At 50.4% G+C, this 26887-nt stretch overlaps 1 protein-coding gene across 11 annotated transcripts in view, besides 1 other annotated feature; it reads right to left on the bottom strand.

Annotated features, from left to right (window-relative positions):
- The window catches only part of SMAD3 (SMAD family member 3), a 129568-nt gene continuing 104446 nt past the window's right edge, over nt 1766-26887 (bottom strand). For 9 of the 11 annotated variants that reach the window (NM_005902.4, NM_001407012.1, NM_001407014.1 and 6 more), the window contains 5 exons: nt 26331-26381; nt 15482-15694; nt 12071-12208; nt 9426-9570; nt 1766-6522 (listed from right to left, as the gene is read on the bottom strand). In NM_005902.4, coding sequence (NP_005893.1) covers nt 6399-6522; nt 9426-9570; nt 12071-12208; nt 15482-15694; nt 26331-26381 — 671 coding nt within the window. In that variant the 3' untranslated portion in view covers nt 1766-6398. Of the gene's footprint in view, nt 6523-9425; nt 9571-9804; nt 9916-12070; nt 12209-15481; nt 15695-26330; nt 26382-26887 lie in introns of all 11 variants that reach the window. The other 2 variants (NM_001407011.1, NM_001407013.1) reach the window with 2 other exon arrangements.
- Nucleotides 20833-20882: an enhancer, noted in NCBI's record as "active region_9625". NCBI's record gives its function as "activates an Ori minimal core promoter by ATAC-STARR-seq in GM12878 lymphoblastoid cells {active_cell/tissue: GM12878}" and the evidence as "EXISTENCE:reporter gene assay evidence [ECO:0000049][PMID:35858748]".

Here is a 26887-nt window from a genome sequence, read left to right as displayed (position 1 = left end):
TTAGCGTTTATGTGGCTTGAAATCATCAGGGTAGATGAGATCACTTAGGGAGGAGTCAGCAGAACAGTGGTCTGGGAATACCAACAAGGAAGCAGGCAGAAGAGGTGTAGGCCCAAGAAAAAGAGCAGATTGTACGAGAGGGCCAGGGAGAACCGGGAAGTTCAGGGAGTAGGACCTTTCCAAAAGGGAGATGGCAGCAGCAGAGAGGTGATGGAGGGCAAGGAAAAGAAATGCGTCAAGCTGCTCTGGGCTTGGAAAATGGGAGTGAAGAGGCTACTGATAAAATCTGGGGAAGCATAAAAGGGAGCTGGCTCAAGTGAGGTGGGAAGATGATTCAGTTTGGGGGCGCTGTGTTTTGGATCACGTCTAACAAATAGCTGGAATTTTAAAATCGTGCATCTCAAGGAACAGGTTGGGTTAAAAGGACGGGTTTGGGTCAGCTGTTGACCCAAACAGCTACATAAACCCTTGAGGAAAGCTGTTAAGGGGGTAGGAAGGTGGAAGAACCAACCAAATCATCATAAAGGCAGGAATTTGTTGCAGTTCTCAGAGGCCAAATCTATAGGCCCTTACGGTGCAACCTGCCTCCTCTTGGTAAGGGAGGTGTTTAGATGATGCTGGGGAGGTCCTTAGGAGGACTGCTGCAGATGTGGTCACACCAGATGATTACTCCAACCCATTTCATCCTTCTCCCCCGAACTCTGCTTATTCAGACTCTTAAAAACCAAAAGGCATTTTACTTCTTTTTTTTTTTTTTTTTTTTTTTTTTTTTGAGACAGACAGTGTCTCACTCTGTTGCCCAGGCTGGAGTGCAGTGGTATGAGCACTGCAACCTCCACCTCCTGGGTTCAAGCGATTCTCCCATCTCAGCCTCCCAAGTAGCTGGGACTACAGGCGTGCACCACCACACCCAGCTAATTTTTGTATTTTTTGGTAGAGACGGGGTTTCGCCATGTTGGCTAGGCTGGTCTCAAACTCCTGACCTCGAGTGATCTGCCTGTCTCTGCCTCCCAAAGTGCTGGAATTACAGGTGTTGAGCCACCACGCCTGGCCAACAGTTTACATTTTAATCAGCGTTTTTCTTTATCCATTCTTTATCCACATCTTCTGGGGTCAGTGTAAGATCTAGCCAAGGAAACAACTTTGAAGTCCCTTTCTCCTTGGGTGTTTTGAATTCAAAATGAATTTTCACAGGTGCTAACAGTCATCTGAGCTGGCAGATGTGGAAACCAAGTTAGTTACTTGTGAACCTCCATGCCTGTGGGAAGACAAATCTGGTGGCATTTAAGACACCCTGACAATATGGAGGAATCAGGCTAGGAGGGACTAGCAGAGGCAAGAGGTGGCAGGGCTTGAGGTTGGGTTGGTGTCATTCATTTGCCAAAGGCCTCGGGGTACAGAGGAAGTAAAATATAAAATGGCACTGCAGAGATAGCATCAGTGGGACACATGGTGTTTAGGTTTGCGGAATAGCGAGATACACCCATTGAGAAACTTTTGACCTTTGTGCAGATGGCCCAGGGGCTTCTGCTGGCACTGCATGTTGCCCTTGGTGAGTGAATGAGGGCAGCTGGGTATTACATGAGGACCACAGCAGAATGTGGCCTGGTACATCATTGGTCAAGGTATATCTGGGCTTACAGACATTTTCCTCTGGTCCTCCTGAGCCCTGAAGTCCCTGGGACCCCCGCCTCGGCTCCCTTTTAAATCTTCTCTCCACCCAGAGACAGCAGCAAGAATCAGACTGAGCTCCTGGCACAGGAGCTTTTCCATGAAAAGTTTATTAGAAGGGCACTTACAAGAGGAAGAGAGGGAATGAGAGGACACAAATCTTTAACAATAGGGGTACAATGCTTAAACAGGTGCTCTGCTTTTAAGATATAAAAGTTAGAAAAATCTAAAACACTATAAATACATACATGCTTTTTACAAAGTTATTAAAAGGTCAGGCTGGCCGAATAGTGAAGGTAATCAACACAGTCAATGTTCTATTCCCCATCCCTCCACACACATCAGAGTCCAGAACAGCCGAGTTGCAACAGCAGCAGTGAAGGTGAGTGAAGGCTTCTTGGATAGATGGCTCCATCTCTCTGTAATGCTTTCACCCCTAGCAAGGGAGTGGGGCTTGGTTCAGAGGACCCTTGTGGAAGGGCCCAGATTTGACTCAGAGCTGTCTGTTTTTACACGCGGCCACTTGTTTAGCCAGCCTGGTTTGGTGTTTCTGGATGCTGAGCCAAAAAGCCACTACACCCTCCACCAACATTCAGAACTGGCTGTGCCCCAACTCTTCCAGCCACTGTCCTTGGGAGGAGAGACCTTTCCAACTTTCTTAAAAAAAATTAAATAGTTATCTGTCTGAATGGTTTTAAGAAATTATTACATAAATATAAAAACACCAGAATACTAGAGTATACATTACTTCTGCATTAAAAAAAAATCCATTGCAGAATCACTGAGAATTTCTCAATCCAGTTTACATGAGGCAAGTTTCTTTTCTATGATAGCTGTGTTTTTGAAAAGTTGCCTGTTTAGCCCATCATCTCCCCACCATCACCTCCCCATGGGAGATGCTTCATCATCATTTTGGATCCATGTCCTCTTGCGTACGTTTTTCTGCTTTCCCTACCCACTTGAGAAGCGGCTGATGCTCCTTAAACTGTGATGAAAATACATTGTGAAGACGGTTACCTGAAAGGGGCCTACAAGGGAACATCTTTGCCACACAAAGACAGTACAGCTTCGCTGTGTTGAGGTTTGGTTCTGGTAAAATGGGGACACGTTTATTTTGGGGGAACTCCCAACTCTAGCCAAGTCACACAGTAAGAAACAGGGTCCAGGGCTAAACGGGTGCACTCTCTTGCTGCTGGTATCCCCCTTGGTGAACAGTCCTACAAGCAGCCTGCAGATTCTTCTCCCTACATCTCCTGTAAGGACGAAGGAGTGGTGTAACCTGAGCTCCGGCCCTGTGGAGACCCTCATGAGGCCTGAGGCTAAGAATGAAACAGATCTTTGCTTCTTCCCCAGATTACTTACATACGTGCATGCCATGCACACACTACTTCAAACCTTTCTGTAGTCTTGAGTAAAAGCATTTAGCCTGGAATATGTCCAAACTCTAGGAAGCCAAGGGGAGATGGAGAAAAATAAACAAACTAAGCACATGATATGTGCTATAGCTCACTTCAGTATATTAACGATGGTTTAAAAAAATAATCACCATGGTCAATAAAAAAAAAAAAATACAACACAGACAACATAAGGACAATGGAGACGTCTGCCAGCAGCCTTGCCCTCATGTGTGCTCTTCCTAAGAGTCAAAGTCCCTGCTCCTGACTCCTCTAGGCTTGTCTCAAAATGTCAGGTCTACAGCCTGCCAGGAAGGTGGCCAACTGAGATGATGTTCCAGCACAGGCCTGTAATCCAAACCGGCTGGGGTAGCTACCTACGTATGTGCTGGAAGCATCTAAGTTACTAAATTGGGAAGAAGCGAGGTGGGGAGGGGAGAGAGGAAAGGGAATAAAAGTTGGCTCCTTGGAAGGTGCTGAAGACAAGGATCTGTGTCCCAGTGCTAGCTGCACTTGGGTCAGTCTCAGCACAAGCTGCAAGGTGAAGATGTCATGGCGGGGAGCCCAGGGCAGGGGCAACACACGCGGTCGTGTTGACTAGGTGAACGCCACTTAAAACTGCTATCCAGTCACCAGCACTCCTCTAGAACTGCCCTGGTTTCCTCTTGCCCTTTTCAACTGTCCTTTAAAAAAGTGTTTTAATATACAAATGCCATTCATACAACAGGATTTTAAAACTAAGAAAACTAGCTTGTGGCTTCAAGGAAGGACACTAATGTTACATACGCCCAAAGCACCTATGTAGCACTCTAAGGTGGGAATGGCACCATTTCCTAACCTCTTAGGTATGATCAAATTTATTTTCAGTGATGCCACAGGTGGGTTTGCCTACAATCCCACACATCCTCCTCTGGTGGTCTAGTCAATAAAGAAAAAGGGCCAAGGAAGTATCCTTTGGAAAAACACAAAACTCAAACTTCATGCTCCTAGAAGTAGCCTTCAGGTCTGAGCAATGAGGGTTCTAAGACACCATCCAAATGCAGCCAAACGTGTCATTTCATCACATTCAAAGTTCATAACCTGCCAAAGTATAGGCTTTTTTTTTCCCCCTTCACCTGGAGTAAGACACGACTTCCATAGATCACTGGATCACCAGAATCAGGCTGTGCCTGAAGCTAGTTCCCAAGCACCCAGAGGGCTGTGTGCCACAGGAAGCCCTCATAGGATCGTGCAGCAGGTGGATCATGCAGGCCCTCGGAAACTGCTGCCCATGGCTTTTAGGAGAGGAACCATGACTGCTCTAGCAGAAGCCAAAATGGAATATTTGGTTCCTGGGTCTCAGAGCTGGCTGGGAACATGAACACATGTACAGGAGGTTCAGGGGGCTTCCTGTGTAAGAAACAGGCCATAGATCATTTCACACCAGGCACATACTTCAGACTCACAGCATTTGGCCCTCTCAGAGGAAGTGAGGGGTTTTGTATTGTCTCTGGGTTCTGAGTCAACCCTCCTTCGAGAAGACTCACACAAGTCTGTCAAGGTGCTCCTTCCGTCTCTTCCTGTGTCCTCAGGAGGCTTGGGGAGCAGCTGTCCTACCTGGAAACCTCATGGCTAGAACTTCAGAGGCACAGGACCCTGCAGATGAGGCATCAGGAAGCCTCTCCATCTCCCTCTAACATCAGAAATCTCATCACATTTGAGCTGTATGACTTGCCAAAAGTATATACACTTCCTTCCCTTCACCTGGAATAAAGCAGGACTTCCATAGGAAATCCCTTGATTTTTCCTGCTATAAATTCATGCAAAAACGTGGGATAGGTCATTTTATACAAAAACAGCAGCAAAGAATAAAGTACCAATTGAAGGTGGCAGTTCTGTCTACTGTGTTCTGCAAAAGGCTGGGAAAAGAAGAGGACTCTTTTTTCTTTTTTCCAGTTGAAATAATTTAGACTAGTTTTCTCCCTAATTGCTGCTGGGAGCAGTACTTGTTACACAATACAACTGCTATAGTTGTCACCGGTGATCCTCTACCGGGAGCTAGATCATCTTATATCCCAGGGGGAAGATGACAGACCTCTTTGTACCAAGCCTGCAATTTTCAAAGGTGTAAAAATATTTTAATAGCCCTTTTCATTTGCCTATGTTGGCCTGAGATGTTTCCCTTCTGGTGAATTTGCTTCTGTAAATTTCAGCTTGCAGAAGTGCTGGCAGGTATCTCTTCAACAAAACCTGGAAAAGCTTCACCTCAGGAGAGAGAAGGGAGAGAAGCAGTTGCTGGGTCTCACTCAGGTTTCCCAGTCAATGTGCCAGCCCAGGATTTTTAAAGAAAATATATAAACCAAACATTTAAAAGAGCATATGATAAAGTTGATTTAATGAATGCAACTGACTACATAAACCAATATAGCCGTATGCATCAGAATCTGGAGCAAGCTCTTACAGATGACTGGAGACGCACCCAGTGTGGTGCTGCCTGAGACCAAATGCCATCCCACGACAAGGGCCTCCTGCTTCATGAGAACACTTACCGTCATTCGAATCTCTTTGAGATTAATGTGATAATAGACACTATACATTGCATATGCACTGGGCCTCAGCAGATCCTTCCAACTTTTCAAAGTGAAAAAGGACAAACGTAAGTGAGTTTTTAAAGAGGTGGCGCTCATCGATTTTTCCCGCTGTCCTGTGTGCAGGTTCTGCTGAACACGCACCTCCCAATCAGTATGTTCTGAGAGGGGAGGGAGACAGACAAAACTCCCTCCCTCCCCATCCCAAGTCTATCCAGCTCACAAGGGGCAAGGTCTGCTGGAGTGGTGGGGCGGGGCGGGGCGGGGCTGGGCTGGGAATGTTCACTGGAAGAGGCACTGTCACAAGCGTCAGAGAGCTGGGCATGAGGTCTGCATGGCCCTGCGGGCTCTTCCTACCTAGAACGCCCTTCCAAGGTGAACTCCACACTGCAGTCCTAGACAGAGGGGTGTTTCTGGTTGGACTGTGACATCCCAGAAAGCTGTCACTCAAAAAAAGAGTCTGGGGGGAGGGGGCCGGTGGTGTAATACTACCTGTTCTGCTCACTTAAGCCACCAGAGCAGACGCCATTTCTTGCCCTTCAAAGTGGGGCCAAAGGGTAAATGTGTTTGGCAGACACAGCTGTTCATAACATCCACCTCTGGGTTTGCTCGTGTGTTTCAGAAAACAGGTGGGTGCACCCCTTCAGTTGAGGGAGAAAGATTTCTTCTTCCTTGACAACAATGGGTTGAGTAGAGTTCCAATTTTCTCCACCTCCTGCATGGCCATTTTCCCCAAGCCTGCCCTCCCCTACCATACTTGATGTCTCTAAGACACACTGGAACAGCGGATGCTTGGGGAGCCCATCTGGGTGAGGACCTTGTCAAGCCACTGCAAAGGCCCATTCAGGTGCAGCTCAATCCAGCAGGGGGTACTGGTCACAGTCTGTCTCCTGTAAGAAATAGGGAAAGGGGTGGGGTGGGGGACTTAAAAAATCTCCAGGGGGTTACACAAGTCAGAAAGCTTTTTCTGCTTTGGTGACAGTCATCTTCCCAAAGATGCTGTTAGACGCTGTCCTAGAAGCGGTACCAGTAACTTGCTGAAACTACCCGGCCAAACTCCTCTACCCAGGGAGGACTTTGAGTAAATTAAGTTCTCTTGAGGGGGAAGGAAGTCGACTTTAAAGAGTTAAACATGTAAAGTCAATGGCAAAGAGTTAAATATGTAAAGTCAATTGCAGGGTACCCCAGAGGCCCACCAGTTACTGTAACAGGCCCCCTAATAGAGGAGACCTCCATCCTGAGCAAAGGGCTTCCTGGCTCCCATCTGTACCAAACGGGCACGTGCCGCTCCCCTATCTCGAAATCTGGGCCCAGCCCCAGCAGGCGACGATGACGTGTGTCTGTCTGATTGAGGGGTGTTTTTTACAAAGCGCCAACAGTGTCCGCATGCCTTCGGTTCCCAATGTGCTGATATAATTCTCATCTACGGCCTTATTTTGGAAAATCTTACAAGCAGAACGAGCCATGGAACAATTACTGGAAAAAAACAAGGCACACCACACGTTTCTTTTCCCCAAAGCACTTTGTCTAAATTCAGGCTGGTTGATGACGCAGCTTGCAGGCAGGCTCCCAAAGGCCTCCACTGAGCAAAGGCTATCTGCTGAGGCTGGAGTCGCTGGTGCCAGCTGGAGGTGAGAGGTGTGGGCCCTGGGCCCTGCTTTCAGCCACCTCACAGAGAGAAGAGCTGAAACCTTACTCTCCTTGGCCCAAGAGGCAGGAGGACGACAAGGCTGTTCTGGGAAGGGGCCGCGCCCGCCCGTCAGGCTGCTGTGCAGTGCTGCCAGGCAGCGGTGACGCGGTGGGCCACAGAGGACTGGGTGTGCTGGCAGGACATCCCGCGTGGTGATAGTGTCCCCAGGGAAAGGCTCTGCCACCAAAGAGCCTCTTCCTAGCACTTGGAGCGGGAGAGCTGCAATGCCACACCAGGAACAGTGTTGCTGTCTTGAAGGCACCACCCTCCTTGCTTGGCCTCTACTTTGCTTGTGTAGCAGGGAGGTTGAGAAATGGGCCTGCAGACAGACCCTGGGGTGTCTGCACGAGCGAGGGTACCTGAGTGTGGCCCTCCAGACTACAGTCTGGTATAAGAAGAGCAAATGGACATCCCCTTACTCTTTTCCACTGCAGTCCATCTTTAAATATTTCCCTTCTTCACTAAAAAAAGATTAATTTTCTAACCTTTCACTCCTGTTCCCTAAATGAGCTAAGCCAGGGCTAAAAGATTGCTTAAAACATTTCTCTGGCTAGACCTTTGGGCCTGGGCTGATCTCTTCAGGCCATAACATAGTTGTAAGTTCTTTTGAGGTCTGACCACTTTGATTGCTCCACTGGTCACTCCTGGATTTCAGAGACACCCAAGAAACCAAGGGGCTGTGTTCCCTGACACCCTGGGGCAGACACAGAAGAACAGCAGCTAAAATACGGTAAGTGGAAGAGGAGGATTTTACAGGATGAAATCCTCTAATGAGAATCTGACTTTCCATAAGTCATGCTCATCTGGATTTCATTACAAACGGTGGCCCAAGGCCAATATTGAAATGGGTTTGGCCTGAGTGCAGCATGACTGCAAAACAAAATGGATTCCAAACATCTGGAAAAATGAAGAGAAAGGGAGAGTAGCTTGCAAGGCGCTGGCTCTAGCTGACATGTGGGCACCTCTGCATCTGCCGCAGGAGCTGGCGGCTGGCAGGGGGGAGTGTGGAGCAGAAGGCGGGGGCACACAGCCCTGCCTCTCCGCAAACTTTGGTCCGTGAGTGGAAAGAAAAGGGACTGGATTCTCTAAACCCAAAGCAGGATGGCCTGAGAGATTCAACCAAGCAGACCAGGTAGACCTGACTATATCAGGGCCATGTTTAAACCAGTATCTAGGGCCGGGCATGGTGGTTCACGCCTGTAATCCCAGCACTTTGGGAGGCTGAGGCAGGTGGGTCACCTGAGCTCAGGAGTTCGAGACCACCCTGGGCAACATGGTGAAACCCCCTCTCTACTAAAATACAAAAAATTAGCCAGGCGTGGTAGCACGCACCTGTAGTCCCAGCTACTTGGGAGGCTGAGGCACGTCCTGGAGGCAGAGATTGCAGTAAGCCAAGATGGTGCCACTCACTTCAGCTTGGATGACAGAGTGAGACTCCATCTCAAAAAAAAAAAAAAAAAAAAAGAAAAAGAAAAAGAAACCAGTATGTAGGACTCTAAAAAAGTCATTTCTCAGCGAGAAAATTTTGTTCCTTTATAACTACCCAAATCTCCTCCTCCCTTCCCGGACTCTCAGTTTTAATATCCTGGGCTCCTCAGCATCACCAGGGTCCCTGAGTCAGAAATGGAGCAACAGAGGAGGAGAGGAACAATGAGCTGAAGACCTAACTTCCTGAAGAGGGTCATCCTAAAGCCATCTGCCTAAAATGAGACTAAGGAAGAAGCCAAGAGGGCAGAGTTCTAGACACAGCTCTTCTACCAGTGTGACTGCAGGCAAGTCACTCTCCCTCCCTGGGCCTTAGTTCTCTCATCTGTACGGATGATGCTGGCATCCCCACCCAGGGCTGGGATGAGGATAAGATGGAGCGTGTGTTTACAGTGCCTACAGCTGTTCGGTGCCAGCAAACATCGTTCTGCAATTCCTCATCATCTGCTGTTGGCCCGGCCCCTCCTGCCTGCCAGGCCTTGGCCTCTCTCTGATCTTTGGTCTTTCTGCTCTTGACGCTAGGGCTGGCCTAGCTCATCTCTGAGGAGCCCTGCCTGCTCTGCTGTCCAGAGTCACCTGGAGTTGGGTCCCCTGATGTAGGCAGCACCCATAACTGACCTGTACTCCGCTCCCCAGCCTTTGACGAAGCTCATGCGGATGGTGCACATTCGGGTCAACTGGTAGACAGCCTCAAAGCCCTGGTTGACCGACTGGGCCAGGAGGGCAGCGAACTCCTGGTTGTTGAAGATCTTCAGGTTGCATCCTGCCAAAAACACAGAAACAGGGCTGTGGGGATGGAAGTGGCCAGGTCCGTTGCTCCCCTCCTGGATAAAGCAAGTCCTGGACCCCCTAGACCAGCCTCATTTATACAGCTCCAGGGACACATGGTGTGTGATGCATTTGCCACACACTCCACACTCAGTACCATGCAAAGGGAAGGCCAACCCAGTCCCTCCCCTTGAACCCATCTCCTCACTGGGAGGTGCCACTGACATACCTGCAAGGGGAGATGGAAGGCTGGCCCACAAGCTCCGACTCCCAGAGCAGGGAGAAGTCTGCAAAGAGGGCTTCCAAAAATAGGGAGATGGTGTGGAGAGGGGGGCCTTTCCTTGGGCAAAGGGACCAGGGGACAGAGAGATAAGGGACCTGGGCCAGGTTGCCCATGCTGTGTGGGGTCTGGTCACCCACCTAGGAACAGGAGCTCTGGCCGTTCCACAGCAGGCAGTGCCCCCAGAGACGGGCTGGCCGAAAGGCTACTGGGCCTGCCGTCCCCACAGGAAGCTTGGCAGAGGGCCCAGTGCACCCTCCACCTGGGCTCCTCTGATGAATACACCTGGTGCTGGGGCTAGGAGGTAAGGAGAGATCTGGGCCAAATTTTGGCCTCTGGGCACTGGGCTGGGTGGAGGTGACATTCACAGCTAAGTGAAGGTGTGCATCTGATTCTCCAGACAGTAAAACTAAAGACAGTCACAAATAAAGTTTAAAATAAATGTCGTTTGAAGTCTTACTGCCTGAGTGCCAGGAATGTGTCAACCAGAAAAATAAAGACAAAAGCACATGCTGGAAATAGCCAAAAGGTGAGCCGGGGTGACGCTTATGAATGAGCCAACAGCAGGCTCCTGTTCTTGCTGTGTGACTCTGAGCTGGTCGCTTTCTCTTGGGGACCCTGTGTCTCTGTATAATGAAGGGCTGGCCTCAGAGGTCCTTCCAGCTCTGACATTCTATGAGCTGACAAACAACACCACAGCCAACTCAGCCCTCACCCAAAAGATGGGGGTGGGGCCGGGGAATGGAAGAGGCAGAAGGCCAAGAGCGTCACTGAGCTTCCTCTTCTTCATTCTCTCCAAGGACAAGGGTGGTGGAACAGGGCTGAACCTGGGCCCTGACCCCCAGCAGAGCCAAGAAGCAGAAGAGCACCAAACTTGAGAGTCCATCAGCCCTAGGCCCCATCCCGGCTTGGCCACTTACTAGCTGTGTGCGCTTGGGCAGGTGGCTGAAACTCTCTGAACTTGTCTCTCAAAGCGTCTCCTTACTTATAGAGCCAGAGAATAACTGGTGAGGACTAAATGAGGTCAACGATCGGAATGTACTCTATAAATGCAACCACAAAATGCTCTGGAAACCTGGTGTGCTATTATCATTTCAGACTTTCTGCATTCTAAAGTTTCCCCTGCCTGTGGTCTACCACTTCTCCACTACCATCTGCTACTCAGTGGGCAGGAAGGGGCATGCCACACACGTGCCACAGGCAATGGCCTGGCCAGGTTACCTGCTCCACTAGTCTGTCACAGGCCATGTTCTGTGGGCTGCCTACACAGTGGCTGCACGTCCTGTGAAAAGTGGACTTTGGCTGGGGCTTTCTGCCTTGGTTTCCTGAGGAAAGAGGCCTTAGATGGGATCAGCCACCTGCCTGATCTTGCTGTCCAGGCGTGGCCCTGTCCAAACCACTCTCGGGGGTGCAGCCTGACACCTCTTCTTGGGGTACAGGTGGGATTTTTCAGGCTCACTCAGAAAACCCTCAGCAGTTCCCTAGAGTCAAACTCTCTGGTGTCCTTCCACGGCCTCATGCTGTTGTGCTTTTGAAACATTTCCCCTGACGGTCTCATACATGACCCTCCTCCAGCCAGAGAGCTACCCATCCATGTCCTGCCCTCCATTACCTCAGGCCCTTTGCCTGGGCTGCTCCCCCTGTCTAGAATGCCCTCCCTGTGCCTAGTGCCTACCTATCCTTCAGGATCCGGATGTTTCTCCTCCATGAAGACTTCCCTGATCCATCCCAACAGCTAAATGGGCCTTCTCTCTACCTGGGCTGCTGGCTTGGTGCTTGGCACCCGTCCCTTATATTGAACTCATCCGTGTCTTTGTCTTCTGTGCTCTGCAGGCCTGTAAGGTCTGCGGGGGCAGAGCAGGGCCGCATCTACCTCTTCATCCCCTACAGCACCTGGCACAGAGCCCTGCATGCTGTTTGTGCAATGAATGAGTGAAGAAAGGAAGCCATACTGCCTGAGCATCTACGCACAGGGCAACAGGCAGGTACCCACAGGTTAAAGGCAGACCTATCAGATGCTACATCTGCTCCCTGGAAGTTCAGGGAAAGCACAGTTAGATCTGTGGGCATAGAGAAAACCTAATCCAATCACCTCCAGATTGACAACGCAATCATGAGTGAGCAGAAAAGGTGAGAAAGGTGGACTCTCTCCAGCATCCTAGGCATGCACTCGGAGAGGGACCTCAAGGCAGGGGTGCCTGTGCGGCTCGTTTACCTGGTGGGATCTTGCAGACGGTGGCCGGGTGCCAGCCATAGCGCTGGTTACAGTTGGGAGACTGGACAAAAATAGCGCTGTCACTGAGGCACTCTGCGAAGACCTCCCCTCCGATGTAGTAGAGCCGCACGCCTCTTCCTACAGAGATTCAGGTTAGACTGGACAGGGTGCCTTTGCTCACACACAATGGCCCTGGGGCCACCTGAGGCTCGCAAAGGAGGCAGAACAGCAGAGCTGCTCCCAGTGACTGCCAGCTTCCCCAGGCAAACGGGCCCCAAAGCCCAAGCCTAAAGTAGGGGAAATGGGCACTGCCGGATTCCTAAAGCCAAGGGAGGCAGATGACAAGAGATGGGCACACAGGATAGGTCTCAGTGACAGCCTTTGCCACTGAGTAGGCATGGGCCTCAGTCAAGTTATTCACCCTCTGAGTCTTCGTTTGTCTCTACGATAGGGATGGGGGCCAGGCGCGGTGGCTCACACCAATAATCCCAGAGCTTTAGGAGGGCAAGGTGGGAGGATCACTTGAGGCCAGGAGTTCAAGGCCAGCCTGGGCAATGTAATGAGACTTCATCTCTACAAAAACATTTTTTTTTTAATTAACTGGGCATAGTGGCATATCCTTGTAGTCCTAGCTGCTTGGGAGGCTGAGGTGAGTGGATTGCTTGAGCCCAGGGGTTCAAGACTGCCGTGAGCTCCCATCACACCACTGCACTCCAGCCTGGGAGACAGAGTGAGACCCTAACTCCAAAAAAAAAAAAAAAAAGGGAATGATGATAACCTCTACCCTTGCAGGATTACTGTGAGACACACAGTAAGTGCCTGGTGTCAGCTTTTCTTGCTGCTACTGCTACTACTACCCCACTATTATTTGGTCTCTTCACACTCCAAGATTCAGAGATTCATTCAGTAAACCTGCAGGGCTCCTTCTGATGCAGCAGACACCCCAAGGAGCCCTTTATTGCAGGGATGGTTTAACGCTATGCCCTTATTTTTTTCTTCCCTCAATGCATTTTTCTAAAACATTCCAGAGGTTTATATCATTTACTTTTCTTTCATCTCTTAAATCCACTCCAGATGGACAGAAATTATTTTTAAATTGGCTCTGCAACTCAAACAGTTGCGTAAACTCTGACAATGAGCTCTTTGCTCGGCCAGGGGATGGTCCCTTCTCCTGCATGGCAAAGTCTCTGCTCCATTCCTGGGGAAGAAGCTCAGAGGTCAGAACACGGAGCCAGATATTACAGGCCCAGCATCCGGTAGGATGAACACGAGGTGACCGACCCATGCATCACTGGATGTCCCCTGTCCTGCCTCCTATTCCCACTACTGTCCCCTTCCTCCAACCACTCCCCATTTTTTCTGGCTTTAGTTCTGCAGGGTGCTGGTGGCTCAGAGTCCACAGGAGGGATGACTTCCTGGCTGTCCACAACTGTATCATGTCAGTAAGAGCAGAAGGCAGAGGTGGGGATGCGAAGACCCAGACCAAAAATGTTTGTTTCGTTTCAGTAACTTAAAAAAATAGGCCGGGCATGGTGGCTCACACCTGTAATCCCAGTACCTTGGGAGGCTGAGGCGGGCAGATCACCTGAGGTCAGGAGTTCGAGACTAGCCTGGCCAACGTGGTGAATCCCCATATCTACTAAAAATACAAAAAATTAGCCAGGTGTGGTGGCACATGCCTGTAATCCCAGCTACTCAGGAGGCTGAAGCAGGAGAATCACTTGAACCTGGGAGGTGGAGGTTGCAGTGAGCCAAGATTGTGCCATCGCACTCCAGCCTGGGAGACAAGAGCGAGACTTGGTCTCCCCGCTCCAAAAAAAAAAAAAAAAAAAATATATATATATATATATATATATATATATATTTTTTTTTTTTTTTAATAAAATATAGAAAAAAGCCAGTTGCAGTGGTATATGCCTATTGTCCCAGCTAATCAGGAGGCTGAGATGGGAGGATAGCTTGAGCCCAAGAGTTTGCGACTGGGCCTGGGCAACATAGCAAGACCCTATCTCTAAATCAATCAATCAATCAAACAGTGGTATGCCACCCAGAATAAGTATCTTTTTTGAAGTAAAAAACAAAAAGCGAAATGGGAACAACAGGTCTGGTAGTGGTGGCTGTCTGTCACTGACAATGAGGTCTCTGCAGAGCCGTTCCCTACCCTCCCCAACCCCCTAGACATCAGGTCCCTTTCCTAGAAAATGAGAGCACAGACCTAGGCCCATGGCCTCCAAACTTTTCTTCTCTTCACTACAGAATCAATCCTCTCTTCAAATGAAGTCTTCTGTGAGAGCCCGAGATATAAAGCAAGCGAGTGCAGAGGTGCCCTGGTTCACGTGGGACCAGGCTTCCCTTTGCTAACCTGCCCACCTCCTGAGTTTGCCGCAGGAACCCTTTGCCAACCCTTGGGGCTCCAGGACAAGGTCTGAGAAAACCTCACTCTGCCATCTCTCTACAGCCCTTCTAAGTTCTGACAGTTGTGATTCTGGATCGTAAAATCCTCTAAGCTTGATAACTTCATAAGCAAACCAAGTGATGCGTAACACAGCTTCATCTTCCTTAAACTCACAAAGTCATCTTTTACTTATGTTCTGGGGGCTAGAAGGCAGAAGGTTCACAGTAGTGGTGTTTGGATAGTGGACAATTCTTTTCTACCTTTTCTAAATTGTTTAGAATAATGATACATGAAAATAAGAGAAGATCACTCTTCCAACAATGACTGCCTACTTATCAACCTATCCATCTGTACTTTCAGAGTATTTTTATTTAGAGGATTTCAGCCAGGCACGGTGGCTCACGCCTGTAATCCCAGCACTTTGGGAGGCCAAGGCAGGTGGATCACCTGAGGTCAGGAGTTCGAGACCAGCCTGGCCAACATGGAGAAACCCCGTCTCTACTAAAAACACAAAAATTAGCTGGGCGTGGTGGTTGGGTGCCTGTAATCCCAGCTACTTGGGAAGCTGAGGCAGGAGAATCGCTTGAACCCAGGAGGCAGAGGTTGCAGTGAGGCAAGATTGTGCCATTGCACTCCAGCCTGGATAAAGCAAGACTCTGTCTCCAAAAAAAAAAAAAAAATAGATTTCATATGTTGCCTTTCTCATAGACGTTCCCTTCTTGATCCCTTAGATGAACTATTTTCCTCTGTGGCTTCCAGATTTTCTGAGATTATATCTTTGAGTGGGAATGATCAAGTGGCCTGAACACTACCTGTCTGGCCCCTAAACAGGGCAACAGAGAGTGTAGGGGACTTGCTGGGGCAGTGAGTCTTCCCCCATGCCCAGCAGGAGGCAGAGCACAGCTAAGGATGGACGCAAGGTTCCCTTCAGAGGCTGTGTGTTCAGGCCTGGGGCTGGGGGTGGGATAGAGTGGCAGGGGCAGGGTGGGGGGGCGGGGAATGGAGCCACCCCATACCGATGTGTCTCCGTGTCAGCTCCACTGCTGCATTCCTGTTGACATTGGAGAGCAGCCCTAGGCAGAAGCGCTCCGAATTGGAGGGGTCGGTGAAGCCATCCACAGTCATGGATGGCTGCGAGGCGTGGAATGTCTCCCCGACGCGCTGGTTCAGCTCGTAGTAGGAGATGGAGCACCAGAAGGCCGGCTCGCAGTAGGTAACTGGCTGCAGGTCTGTGGACACAGGGTGGGCTACTGGGTCATTGGGTGTCCCAAGCCCCATGCTCCCTCGATGGGGTCCCATGGACACTCTGGAAAACCATTTCCCCGCATTTCAGAGGGATTATAATCTCCCTACCCCATGCCTTTTATCGTATAAAACTGGCAAGAGCCACCAGAACAAGATGCTCAGGTGTCTGGAGGAGATTCCATCAGCCTTGTGTGTAAAGGGCCATTGATTTCTCTTTTTATTTATTTATTTATTTATTTATTTATTTATTTAGCTCATAAAGGCCCTGCCCCGCCTGCTTGGCCTTGACTGGATGGAAGGAGTCTTCAAGGAGGGGCTGGGCCAAACCTGAAGAGGACCAGGGGCCACCCAGTACCTGGATGAACCTGGGACAGCCACTGCGTGTACTCACTGTGGGGCAGGCCACACCTCCTGCACAGTCACCTCTCAGCCTCTGTTGCAAGGTCCCCAGAGTAACCCACATTAATCCCTGCCCCTAAAAGGGCTTTCAGATTTTGGCTCTGCACAGCCTTGGGGGCAAAAACTCCCAGCCTGTGGAGCAGCAGCTTCCAAGCCTGCAGCAGCCGAGTGGGTTCCCAACAGCGCCCCATGTTGGCGCAGTGGACACACCAGGCATCATCTGCAGACTGAGCCTGGGGCCATGCCTCCTATCACAGAAACTATTTTCCACACTTATCTAGATGCCGGCTGTTGGGGTGGCTCGGACACAAACCCTTCTGAAAGAAAATCTGTATTTGTCCCAGTTGTCTGTACAGTCTCCATTAGGGGCTCCTCAAAGCAAAACTGCCATTCTACAAGGGGCTGGTTCTCTTTCTCAGAAGAGTAAATGGCAGCTTCTCCTCACACTAGAAATGGATCCCAGCCTTCCATTTCCTGGGGCCTCCTCGCCCTCCTCTTGCCCCGGCCCAGTGGCCCTGGCACTGTGCCCTCCTACTGCACGCCTCTGCAGCATCTCCAGGCCCATTCTCTCAGCCCTTGGCCGGGCCCTCGGAATTCCCACTCACACCGATGCCACAGCCTCTGGACCAGGACTGCCCTGCGCCCTGGGCCAACCTCTTCCAACTGCTTCTCTGCACTGCACTGACTGCTGGGCGCGAGCCCTTAGCCTACGACACTCTGCTTGATGCCTACCTGAATTCCATCCATCTGCTGAAGAATTAGGGAGTCCCCTGCTCATTCTCGCTCTTCCATCTCAAAGCTTCAGCCTGCCTCTGAAGTCCCTCTGGCTCTTAAATATACCCGAAGCGACGCAGTTACTAAGGGTGTGCCTCTCTGTGAGCATCCTGACTGTCCAACTTGACCATGAGGTCCCAGGGCCCAGGCTGACATCTCTCCTCCCTCGCTTTAACCCTCAGCATGGGGCTGAGGGTTCCTCCTCAGGGAGGAACAGGAGACGCTCCCCATGCCCACGTCTCAGCCCTGGCCTGAGAACCCTGCTCACTGGATGCCAGGCAACGTCTAGGAGGGGGAACCCACTGGGAGGATCCCTGCTCATCAGACCTTCTGAAGGTGTGTAAAGCCCAAGAGAGAAAAGTCAGAAGCTGTTCTGCCCACTGGAAGGGGTCTGGTTGCCCCTGCAGGACAGAGTGTCCCAATCCCCTTTTGGAGTCTAGGTGCATGATCCTTTCTAAGAGCAAGGAGAACACTATCACGAATGGCGAAGGGGCAGGCCAGTAACACCCCTGCACTCCACACACACCCAGGAAGTGTCAGCTGGAGGATTAGGACACCCTAGGTCAGGTTTTTCAACTTCAGCACTACTGACATCTGGGGCCAGATAATTCTTTGTTGGGTGGGTGGATGGGTGGGAGGGAGGATCTGCAGATTGCAGGATGTTTAGCAGCATCCTGGCCCCTACCCACTAGGTGCTAGTAGTATACATCCATAACACCCTCTCAAGTTGTGGCAATAAAAAAAGGCTGCGGATATTGCCAGATGTCTTCTAGGGGGCAAAACGGCCTCCAGTTGAAAACCATTGCCCTAGATATTTAACTGGATCATGGGGCACAAGCTATAAAGCCATCCTCCAGACAGACTGGAGGTCAATCTTGGCTCAGGCACAGACTAGACATGCAACTGCGAGCAAACCAGCTACACTCTGTGGGCCTCATCCTCTTTACTCTCGGCGCTGTTTCTGGACAGACAGAGATAACTCATGTGAGGTGCAGGGCGCGCATCAAACACTCAGCACATGGTGTTAACAACAATGATAATAGCCCGATTCTGTGAACTTGAAAATAGCCTGGTCCTATCTTGATCACCATCAAGATGGAGAGGCAAAGCATTCTTGTCGTTTTCTCTCTTCCTGGGGTGGAGCAAAGGAAGATAAGGATGAAGGCATCAAAAGTACTTAATGGGGAAGGGAGGAATGACAGGGCCAGGAGCAGCTGCGGCTTGTGCCCTGGCCCCTGAGGTGAGGCTGAGCCACGTCAGCCACGTCTGGCTCTGGCTTTGCTTGATGCTTCAACATTCCAATGAGATAAGCTATATTCTAAACAATGTGGTCACTAAAATGTGAGCTATGTTGATTTGGAAACTTAAAAAAAAAAAATCCAAGTGCAACCCAAGCATTCAGAGTGGTCAAGCAATGTATCAGTGCTGCTGGCCACCACTGCCCAAGCGCAGGCTCTGCTGATCCTGCTGTGTGACCTTGGGGACATGACCTCCTTCTGTAACCTCAGTTTTGTAGTCCGTACAATCACTGTGGTACACTAGAAGACAATAAAGCTACAATAAAGCTGACCACCTAGATCATTCTCTGGCACGGGTCAGCTTGAACATATAGCTTTGACTGGCCCTGACTTACTCAGCAATGTGTAGAACAGAACAGGGTCCTCACCCCAAAATCATAAAGCCCTGCCCAGCATTCTCTGGGTTTAGTCCAGGCAGAAGAGAAAGAGCTAGGCTCCCAGGAACGGCAACCCAGCCCACCATTCAAAAAAAGAAAAAGCTGGCAGGCCACCCATTGTGTCGCATGGTGCTAGAACCATGCTCTGGGGAAGGGTGGGCTTCAAGGACCCTCAGAATCAAAGACAGGCCTGGGGTCATAGGCCGAGAGGCCCTCCCAAGCAGATCTGAGCCCTTATCCAAACAGCCCTGCAACTCACAGACACACACCGGACAGTGTTGTGGAAAACCCCGGACACTAGGAACCTGACACATCATTAAGAAGATGCTTGTTTGAGGGAGCAGTGAAATCAGGCCAGTGGCAAAGTCTGCAGGCTGCCATTTCAGAGAGTGCTGTTTGGACAAGCTGCCCTGTGTTCAGAAGCGGGACTGAGCCAGAGCAGCACCCCAGCCATGCGCTTTCTATTCTCTGCAAACAACTAAAAGCCAGCCGTGATTTCCCTCCTTTCTAGGTCCCTCCCGCCCACCATGCCTCAGCTGCTTCCTCCCAGAACTTGTGCAAGAGGAGTGGCAGACCAGAAAGTATGGTCACCACCTGTGGGTTCTGCCTTCAATGGCACATTTTTCCTTAACAAAAAAAAAAACAAAAAAACAGACCATATGCAGTGGTTCATACCTGTAATCCCAAGCACTTTGGGAGGCCAAGGCAGGCAGATCACTTGAGGTCAGGATTTCGAGACCAGCCTGGCCAACCTGGCGAAACCCCGTCTCTACTAAAAATACAAAAATTAGCTGGGTGTGGTGACGGGTGCCTGTAATCCCAGCTACTCTGGAGGCTGAGGCAGGAGAATCACTTGAACCCAGGAGGCAGAGGTTGCAGTGAGCCAAGATCACGCCACTGCACTCCAGCCTGGGGGATAGAGCAAGACTCTGCCACACACCAAAAAAAAAAAAACCCAAAACACTAAATATGCCCTCATTTCTTTCCCAAAGTACTTATCCTTACCCTGGTTAGTACCAGAGAAACAAAAAGGACTCTGGAAAGAAGGCGGCTATAAATGGGATAACCATGAGGTTATAGTTACTGCAAAAGCATCCAGTTTGGCTCTGAGCTTCCTAGTAGACAAGACAAAAAGGGAACATGACATGGTCTATGGCTCTGGTTGGTGGATGGGCAATGCTTACTAGTTCCTCAGGGAAAACAAAGTTTGTCCTGGCATTAAATCTTAAAAGAAATCTCTCAGGGGGAGGTGGCAACCCCTCCCCTGACCAATCAATCAACTGATCAAGCAAGCAAGCAAATTAAGATCTGGTTTCAAGGATTTACCAACAAATGCAGAAGCAGTTCTATAGAAGGCTCCTCTAGGAGAATGACTACGGGGGGTAAGGTGACACACCCCATTGAAGAGCAGTTTCACCTCTAGGCTGAGCATTTTGCACAGCTGGGGTGGTAGACGATGGCACGTGCCCACGGCCTTCCCTTCAAACAGCCCTGCTCCTGGCCAGATTTCTGAGTCTGTGCTAATCTCTCCTCCCAGTGCAGAGGTGTTGGAGACGCAGGAACCTCCAGCTCCAGCCTTTGTGGATCCCCCTCCCCCACCAGTGTGGTGTCGGCCAGACTTCTCAAGTGCCATAGGGCACTTAATCCATGGCTGGCCCCCTGCCAGCCTAACGCATTGGCTGGCCTCAGTTTTCAGTCCTGTTCCAAGCTGGCACAGACGTTCCATTATGTTTAAGAAAAAGAAAACAGAATAAAACCCAGAAGGCAACACTTGGATTAAGGGATGCCTATTAAAAACATGTGCAAGAGATTCAAATCCCGTAAAGGAAGAGGTGGGGAGGCAAGGGGGGAAATTAACTTTCTCCTATAAATCGAAAGCAAGGAACGGGCAAAGGCCAGGAGCACTGCTGCTGCAAGACGAAAGGTCAAAACAGAAATGGGCTGGTTTCTGCTGGGCCCACCTCACCTGCGGAAGGCAGCTCTTCCTCAATCTAGGAGATTCCACACTCCAGTTCCCATGTTCCTCATCCACCACTTCTCAGTCCTGCCTGGGTCCTCTGCCTGGACTGCCCATCCCCCTCCTCTGCAGGGACTCGATCTTTAAGGCCCAGCTCACACGGCTGTGAAACACTCCCTCACTGCCTCAGTGCAGAATTAACCTTGTGTCCCAGAAACTGTGTACCTGAGTCTCCTATGCTAGAGGATGAGGTCTCTGTGAGCCCACGCCAGCTGTGTCCCAGCACCCAGGGTACTAATTCCAACCTATGTATCTGCGGACTAAAATACCAAACCAAGCTGCACAGAGACCCCCATGCCCTTTTAGCTTATGACCAGCATACTGCAACCAGGAACAGTGGCAAAGTCTAAAAACCGGGCCCTCAGGAGTATGAAGACAGAGCCGACAGCTGACTTCCTGTCATTATGTTGCCTGCCTGTGATTTCACAAGTGTGGGGAAGACCCTGCCTGTGATTTCACAAGTGTGGGGAAGACCGGAGCCAGAGGCTGCATTGTAAAAGAGCCTTGGGCAGCAGCATGAAGATGCCTGGAACTGGGTTGGGCCTCTGCCCTGGGCCGCCGTCCACACTCAGGGCTGGTGGTCTTCGGGCCGCCCTGCCACCACACCTGTGCTCACACATGGGCACAGGGGCTCATGAAGCAGAGGGGAAGCCGGGCCTGTCAGCGTGGAGTCTCACCCAGAATCCTAACCCTGACTCACGGGGCAACTTGCCCCCGATTCACACCTTCCCAGCAGAGGTGCAACTAGGCCAGTGCAAAGTGGCACCCTGGGGGGAGGGTCCTCCCTTTGGAAGAAATAACCTAAGAATTCTCAACTCTCAGGCAAGGTGCCTGAGGAAGCGTCAGTAGGGAGGGAGAACTATGTCAACAGGAGATGCTGCCTTGGGTCCAAGCTCAAGAAACATCCCATCATCCTAGTCTACACAATCTAGAGGGCAATTCACAGCAAACGACCACCTTTCAGTCTGAAGCACTGCATCCGGCATCAGCCACCTCCAAGCTGCCCTATCCCTCTCACTCCAAGCTGCCCCATCCCTGCCTCTCACTCCTGCCACTGGCACTCTGGAAGCCATCACCTCCTTTAACTCCAGCTCAACTGCTCCCTCAGGGCTCTCCCTGGTACATTATTTTCCTCAGTCATGGCTCCGCCCTAATCATCTCACTTTAAAGCAGGGAACAACTTACTCACCAGGCAGAAGCCAGCTCACTACCTTTTTCCTCTCTCCACCTGCCTCCTCCTTCCCCTCCATTTACCCCAATCCTTCCGCCTTAAATGCCTAGGAAATTCCCGGTGACTCACCCAGCACGCTGTGTAATAACAGGAACATCACCTGCTCATATCTCCTGCCCTGCAAACAACGGTCCCAGGTCCCAGGGTCTCCGAGAGCCTGCCTGGGGCAGGATGCTGAGCCAGGTCTCAACCAGGAGTCCCTGCCCCTTACCAGAAGTGGCTTTGCTGGGGCAAGGAGGCTCAACCTTCCCCAGACCTGAGCCCTGGGGCTAACACCTGGAGTGGGGAGGAAATGAAAGGAGAAACCAGATGTCCTCTGCTTTCTTTCTTTTTGTACAGTAATTTCATAATAATCTCTTTAAAGGAAATAATCAGATGTCCTGAGATGTCCCCATTTTTTCCTAGGAAGAGCTCCCTGTGTGCTTGCCTCCATCCTAGGGTTTGGGACGCACTGACTGTGAGTCAGCACAAAGGCTGCGCTGCTGGGTGCCTCCACCTCCCCACCTGGTACTTGCCCTTCAGTGCACTGCTGACTGACTGCAGCCCCTCCCCTCCTACACACTGCTCCCTAAAAGCTCCCCCTTGAAACCCTGATGCCAAATCCAAGGCCTCTTCTTAAATCTCATTTTGCATCTCTGCAGGGCCCGCTTGTAGCCACTGTCCTTCAGGGCTTGCCTCCCCTCTGAGCTGCTGTGACCCCATCATCCCCCTGACCTCAGCCTTCTCCAAGGAACCCCCACCACCCGAGCGCATCTCTGGCTGTCTTTCCATCTTGAGCTGGGTCGGCCTCTCCACTAAATCCATCCACTGGCATGACTTCAGCCAAACTTCATCGGTGTTTCCAGAGTCAGATCTATGGATGGGTAATGGGGCGGTAAGACAGAAGTACAGGAACAGTGATCAGTGCATGGGAGGAAGGCTGGGTCAGACAGGCCTCCTTCTGCAGGCTCCTCAGAGCGTGGCCATGTGAGTCCCTCCTGAGTGGGGGCTGGAGGAGAGGCCACAATACAGGCTTTCCACACTCATTCAACCACCAAACCCCTTCTCTCAGGCCCCGCTATGGGAAAGGCTGCCACATGTGTTCATGGTTTCCAAATCTGCGCCTCCAGCGCCAGCCGCTTTCCTGACTTTCCAACTGCTTCCTGGACATAGTTAAGCACAGGCAACCCACCACCATCTTTCACCCCCAACCCATTCCACTTCCTGGGTGTCCAGCCTCGATGGGGGCATCACCATCATCCCACTTAACGCTGGTCAACAAACCCTGCTCATTCAGGCCCATGATTCCCTCTCAAATGCATTCTCCCAGCTCTGCTACCATTTCTCGAAAGCATTTATCTCAGCCTCCTCCAGAGGAAGAGCTGTCTAAGTGGGTTTTTGTTTTGTTTTGTTTTGTTTTGCCTCCAGTAATTTCCCCTAGAATTTAGATTCCACACAGTGGCCAGATTAATCTTTATGAAGCTGTCATCAGAAAACCTCCCCAATCAAAACCCACAAACAACTTTATTCTATAGGCAAGAGGGCGCTAAGCAGACACTCAGGGGTCTTTTCCCAGTGCCCCACCTGCCATTTCAGCCTCCTTTTCCCACCTTGTCCCTCTTGAGACAACAACCAACCACCATGCCAGCTGTCCTCAGACCACATAATGCCCTTGGACCTGCAATGTCCTTCCATCCTTCTCTGCCTCACAGGGTCCCATCTGTCCTTCAAGGGCCCGCTCACACATGGCACAACCTCTCCCATGTCTCCCCACTCCATCCACACTTTCCTCCTTGGCATATACTATTCCTCCCTCTTCTGGACTTTCTCCCTGGGCACCTGGCACAACGCATTACAGGTGGACATGGACACCTCCAGCTGCCCCCCTCCCCGCCCCCAGGCTGCAAATGTGTAGTGCTCTCCCAGCTCTGGCCCCCAGCATCAGTACATAGTGGGAACTCAGCCAATGTTGACTGAGCGCATGGATACAGAGGAGACGCCTGGCCAGCCTGGAATCCCATCGCTCCATCCCTCGAACCCTCAGAGTACTTCATCTGCACCTCCTTCTTGTTTTAGAATCATTTTTGGTCCTGCCTTATTGATCCCAACAAGGCCGTAGCCCCTCGATGGCTATGTCTGTGGTCCCTCTTCCAATCCCCCACCTGAACGGCAGGCAGACAAGAAGTATCTGGGAATGAGGGAGTGAGGAAGAGGCATACAAGCAGGCAGGGCTTCCCCCCGGGAGCCACAGCCACAGACTTTTACGTCTCCAACGTAAAAGTCAGCAAATGCCTTGTCTGAGCCTTGTTCCTCCAAGTGAGGAAGGTGGGGACAGGTGGTCTAAACGGCCCAGCAAGGCAGTGTCATGCCACAATGGGAGTGCACGCTCTGGAGTGAGAGGGCCTGAGTTCAAAGCCACCTTCTCCATTCACTAGCTGTGAATCTGGGACACATGAGTTCACCAATGTGTTCCCCGGTTTCCTAATCTGTAAAATGAAAAATCACAACGCTTCTGCCTTATAAAGTTATAAAGATCAGGTTAACATGCAGGAAGCACTCCGAATAACAGTAAACAGCAAACTCTCAAGAAATGTTTCCCATCATCATCACCATCTCACCCCCTTCCAGCTATGACACTGGGAGTCCAGGTGACCTTCTGGGTAGGGATGAAGTCAATGGTTTGAATGGGTGAAGGGGAGCACAGGGGCTCATGAAGCAGAGGGGAAGCCAGGCCTGTCAGCACGGTGTCTTACCCAGAAGCCTAACCCTGACTCACTGGGCGACTCGCCCCCGATTCACATCTTCCCAGCAGAGGTGCAACTAGGCCAGTGCAAAGTGGCACTCATTCTCTGCTGGCCAGGCTCGGGGAGGGTCCTCCCTTTGGAAGAAATAACCTAAGAATTCTCAACTTTCAGGCAAGCTGCCCGAGGAAGGGGCAGTAGGGAGGGAGAATTATGTCAACAGAGGATGCTGCCTTGGGTCAGAGCTCAAGAAACATCCCATCATCCTCATCCTAGTCTACACAATCTAGAGGGAAGTTCACAGCAAATGACCACCTTTCAGTCTGGAGCACCGTGTCCGGCATCAGCCACCTCCAACCTGCCCTGGGACTGCTATGGTTTCAAAGGCAAGTGTCTGCTTGGAAGGCTGTTGACTAAAAGTGCTACCTTGGCCCCAGGAGGGTTTTTAAATGCCATAGAAAATAAATCTAAAGCAGCCAATCTCAAAAGCTGAAAGCCCGGAGTCAAGTTCACCATCATGGCCTTTAATTTCTCAAGTGTTAACTTCGCTTCTAGCCTTCAGTTTGTTTTTAATAACTCAGTCCTTTCATATCAGGAATCTGACCTTCCCTCTGCAAAGCCCGGCACTCATGGTGATATTATTTTACAAAAATGTTAAAACAGATCTCCCAAAGTCACATCCCACACTGCCCAGGTCAGCCTGTTCTAAAGGGTTTCAAGCATCTCCTAATATTCCAAATGATGAGTTTCTTCATCTGACGCTGTCAGTCAAGGTCTGGAAGCAAATGGGCACAAAAACCAGTCCAATCCACTTTGATTCGCCAAGAAATATTAACTATTTCTTTTCCTGAGCCACAAATTAAGCCTCAGCAATAAAGTTCCAAACAAAATCCAACTTACATTTTCTAAAACTACCAGACCAGAATATAAAAATCTCCCCTCAATAAAAACTAAATGGATATTTCATTTGTTTGAAGCCCTTTGGCAGGTTCCATGCCAAAGCCTATCCCAAGCTGGAGAACTGAAGGACCCTACTGGGTTAGAAAATTGAGTCTTGGAAAAACTGACCCAGCAGTCTAACCATGGAGGGATGTTGCGGAAACAATGGACCCTCCACTCCAAAACATCATGAGATAACACACAACGATAAACAAGACACCTAAATACGGAAACGTGTTTACAAAATAACATAAGGAGAAAAGAGAATGAAAACACCAGATATGCACTATGATCTCAGTGGCAAGGCACAGAGATATATATGCCTGATGCACAAACATCAGGACTGTAATCACACATAGACAGTTATGTTAGGGTGGTGGGATTATGGGCACTTTGACTTTATTTTCAAATTCCGTATATGTTGCTATTTTAAGAAAAATTACACAATTATAAGATGAAACACTCAAATAAGTATATCTGAAACAGGTCTATAAATGTCAGGGGGCTGGAGTCTGCATGGCTGTCCGTGGCTTTGCACCAAACTGCACACGTATGCTTAGCTGACCACAGACCCTCGTTCTCCTGGGCATAAAGTTTGGGGGAATTTTCATTCACTCACGTCTACCCGCCCCCCAGGGGAAATACAAACCTGGCATATGGTTGTCTTTCCTGCCACCACTGTTCTCAAGTTTCCCCATTCCGTGGTGACCTCAACATCACCGTAACCAGAAACCTGATGGGCTGAGCTGGGCTGATGGTAGGGGTCGGGGGAGAGCCTTACCTTCAGGGCCCCCTCCCCACACTGGCGACTCGCCAGGGCTGCAGCTAGAGGGGGTTCCAGTTGTGTGCACAAGGAGATACTCACCCAAGTTATTATGTGCTGGGGACATCGGATTCGGGGATAGGTTTGGAGAACCTGCGAGGTGAGACAAGTTGTGAGACTTCACAAAAGATTCTTGGCCTGGAGAGCCAAGTTACTAAACACTTACATATCAAGGAGGGGTAGCCCAACACAGCAGAAAGAAAACCCTGGACTGAGGGGTCCCAGGAGAAGGCCTAGCCCATACCCTTGCCTCTACTTTCCCTCCCTGGGCCCCAATTTCTTGTCTGGAATGAATGCATTGAGTGGATGATCTCAGAGGTCTCTTATGATTATGATCTCAGAGGTCTCAGATAGTTTTATGATCCTAACCAAGACTCCCAGCTCAGGGCTGCTAAATTCTCAACTAGAATAAGTGACACATTTTTTCTTTAGCTTACACCACCTGCCCTATTAACTATGCCCTCAGGAAAATGAGAGGAGCAGGGAAGCCCTTCTCCCAAGCTGCAAAGACCCAGGAAGCAGGAGGCCAGCCCTCCCACACAGGCAGGGCTTGAGGCCTCCCCAGCATCACCAGCCACCGACCTTGGTCAGAGGCTGCA

Source organism: Homo sapiens, chromosome 15 (genome assembly GCF_000001405.40).
Source record: "Homo sapiens chromosome 15, GRCh38.p14 Primary Assembly".
In the NCBI taxonomy this organism is placed as follows: Eukaryota; Metazoa; Chordata; class Mammalia; order Primates; family Hominidae; genus Homo; species Homo sapiens.
This window is presented reverse-complemented; position numbering and strand designations above follow the sequence as displayed.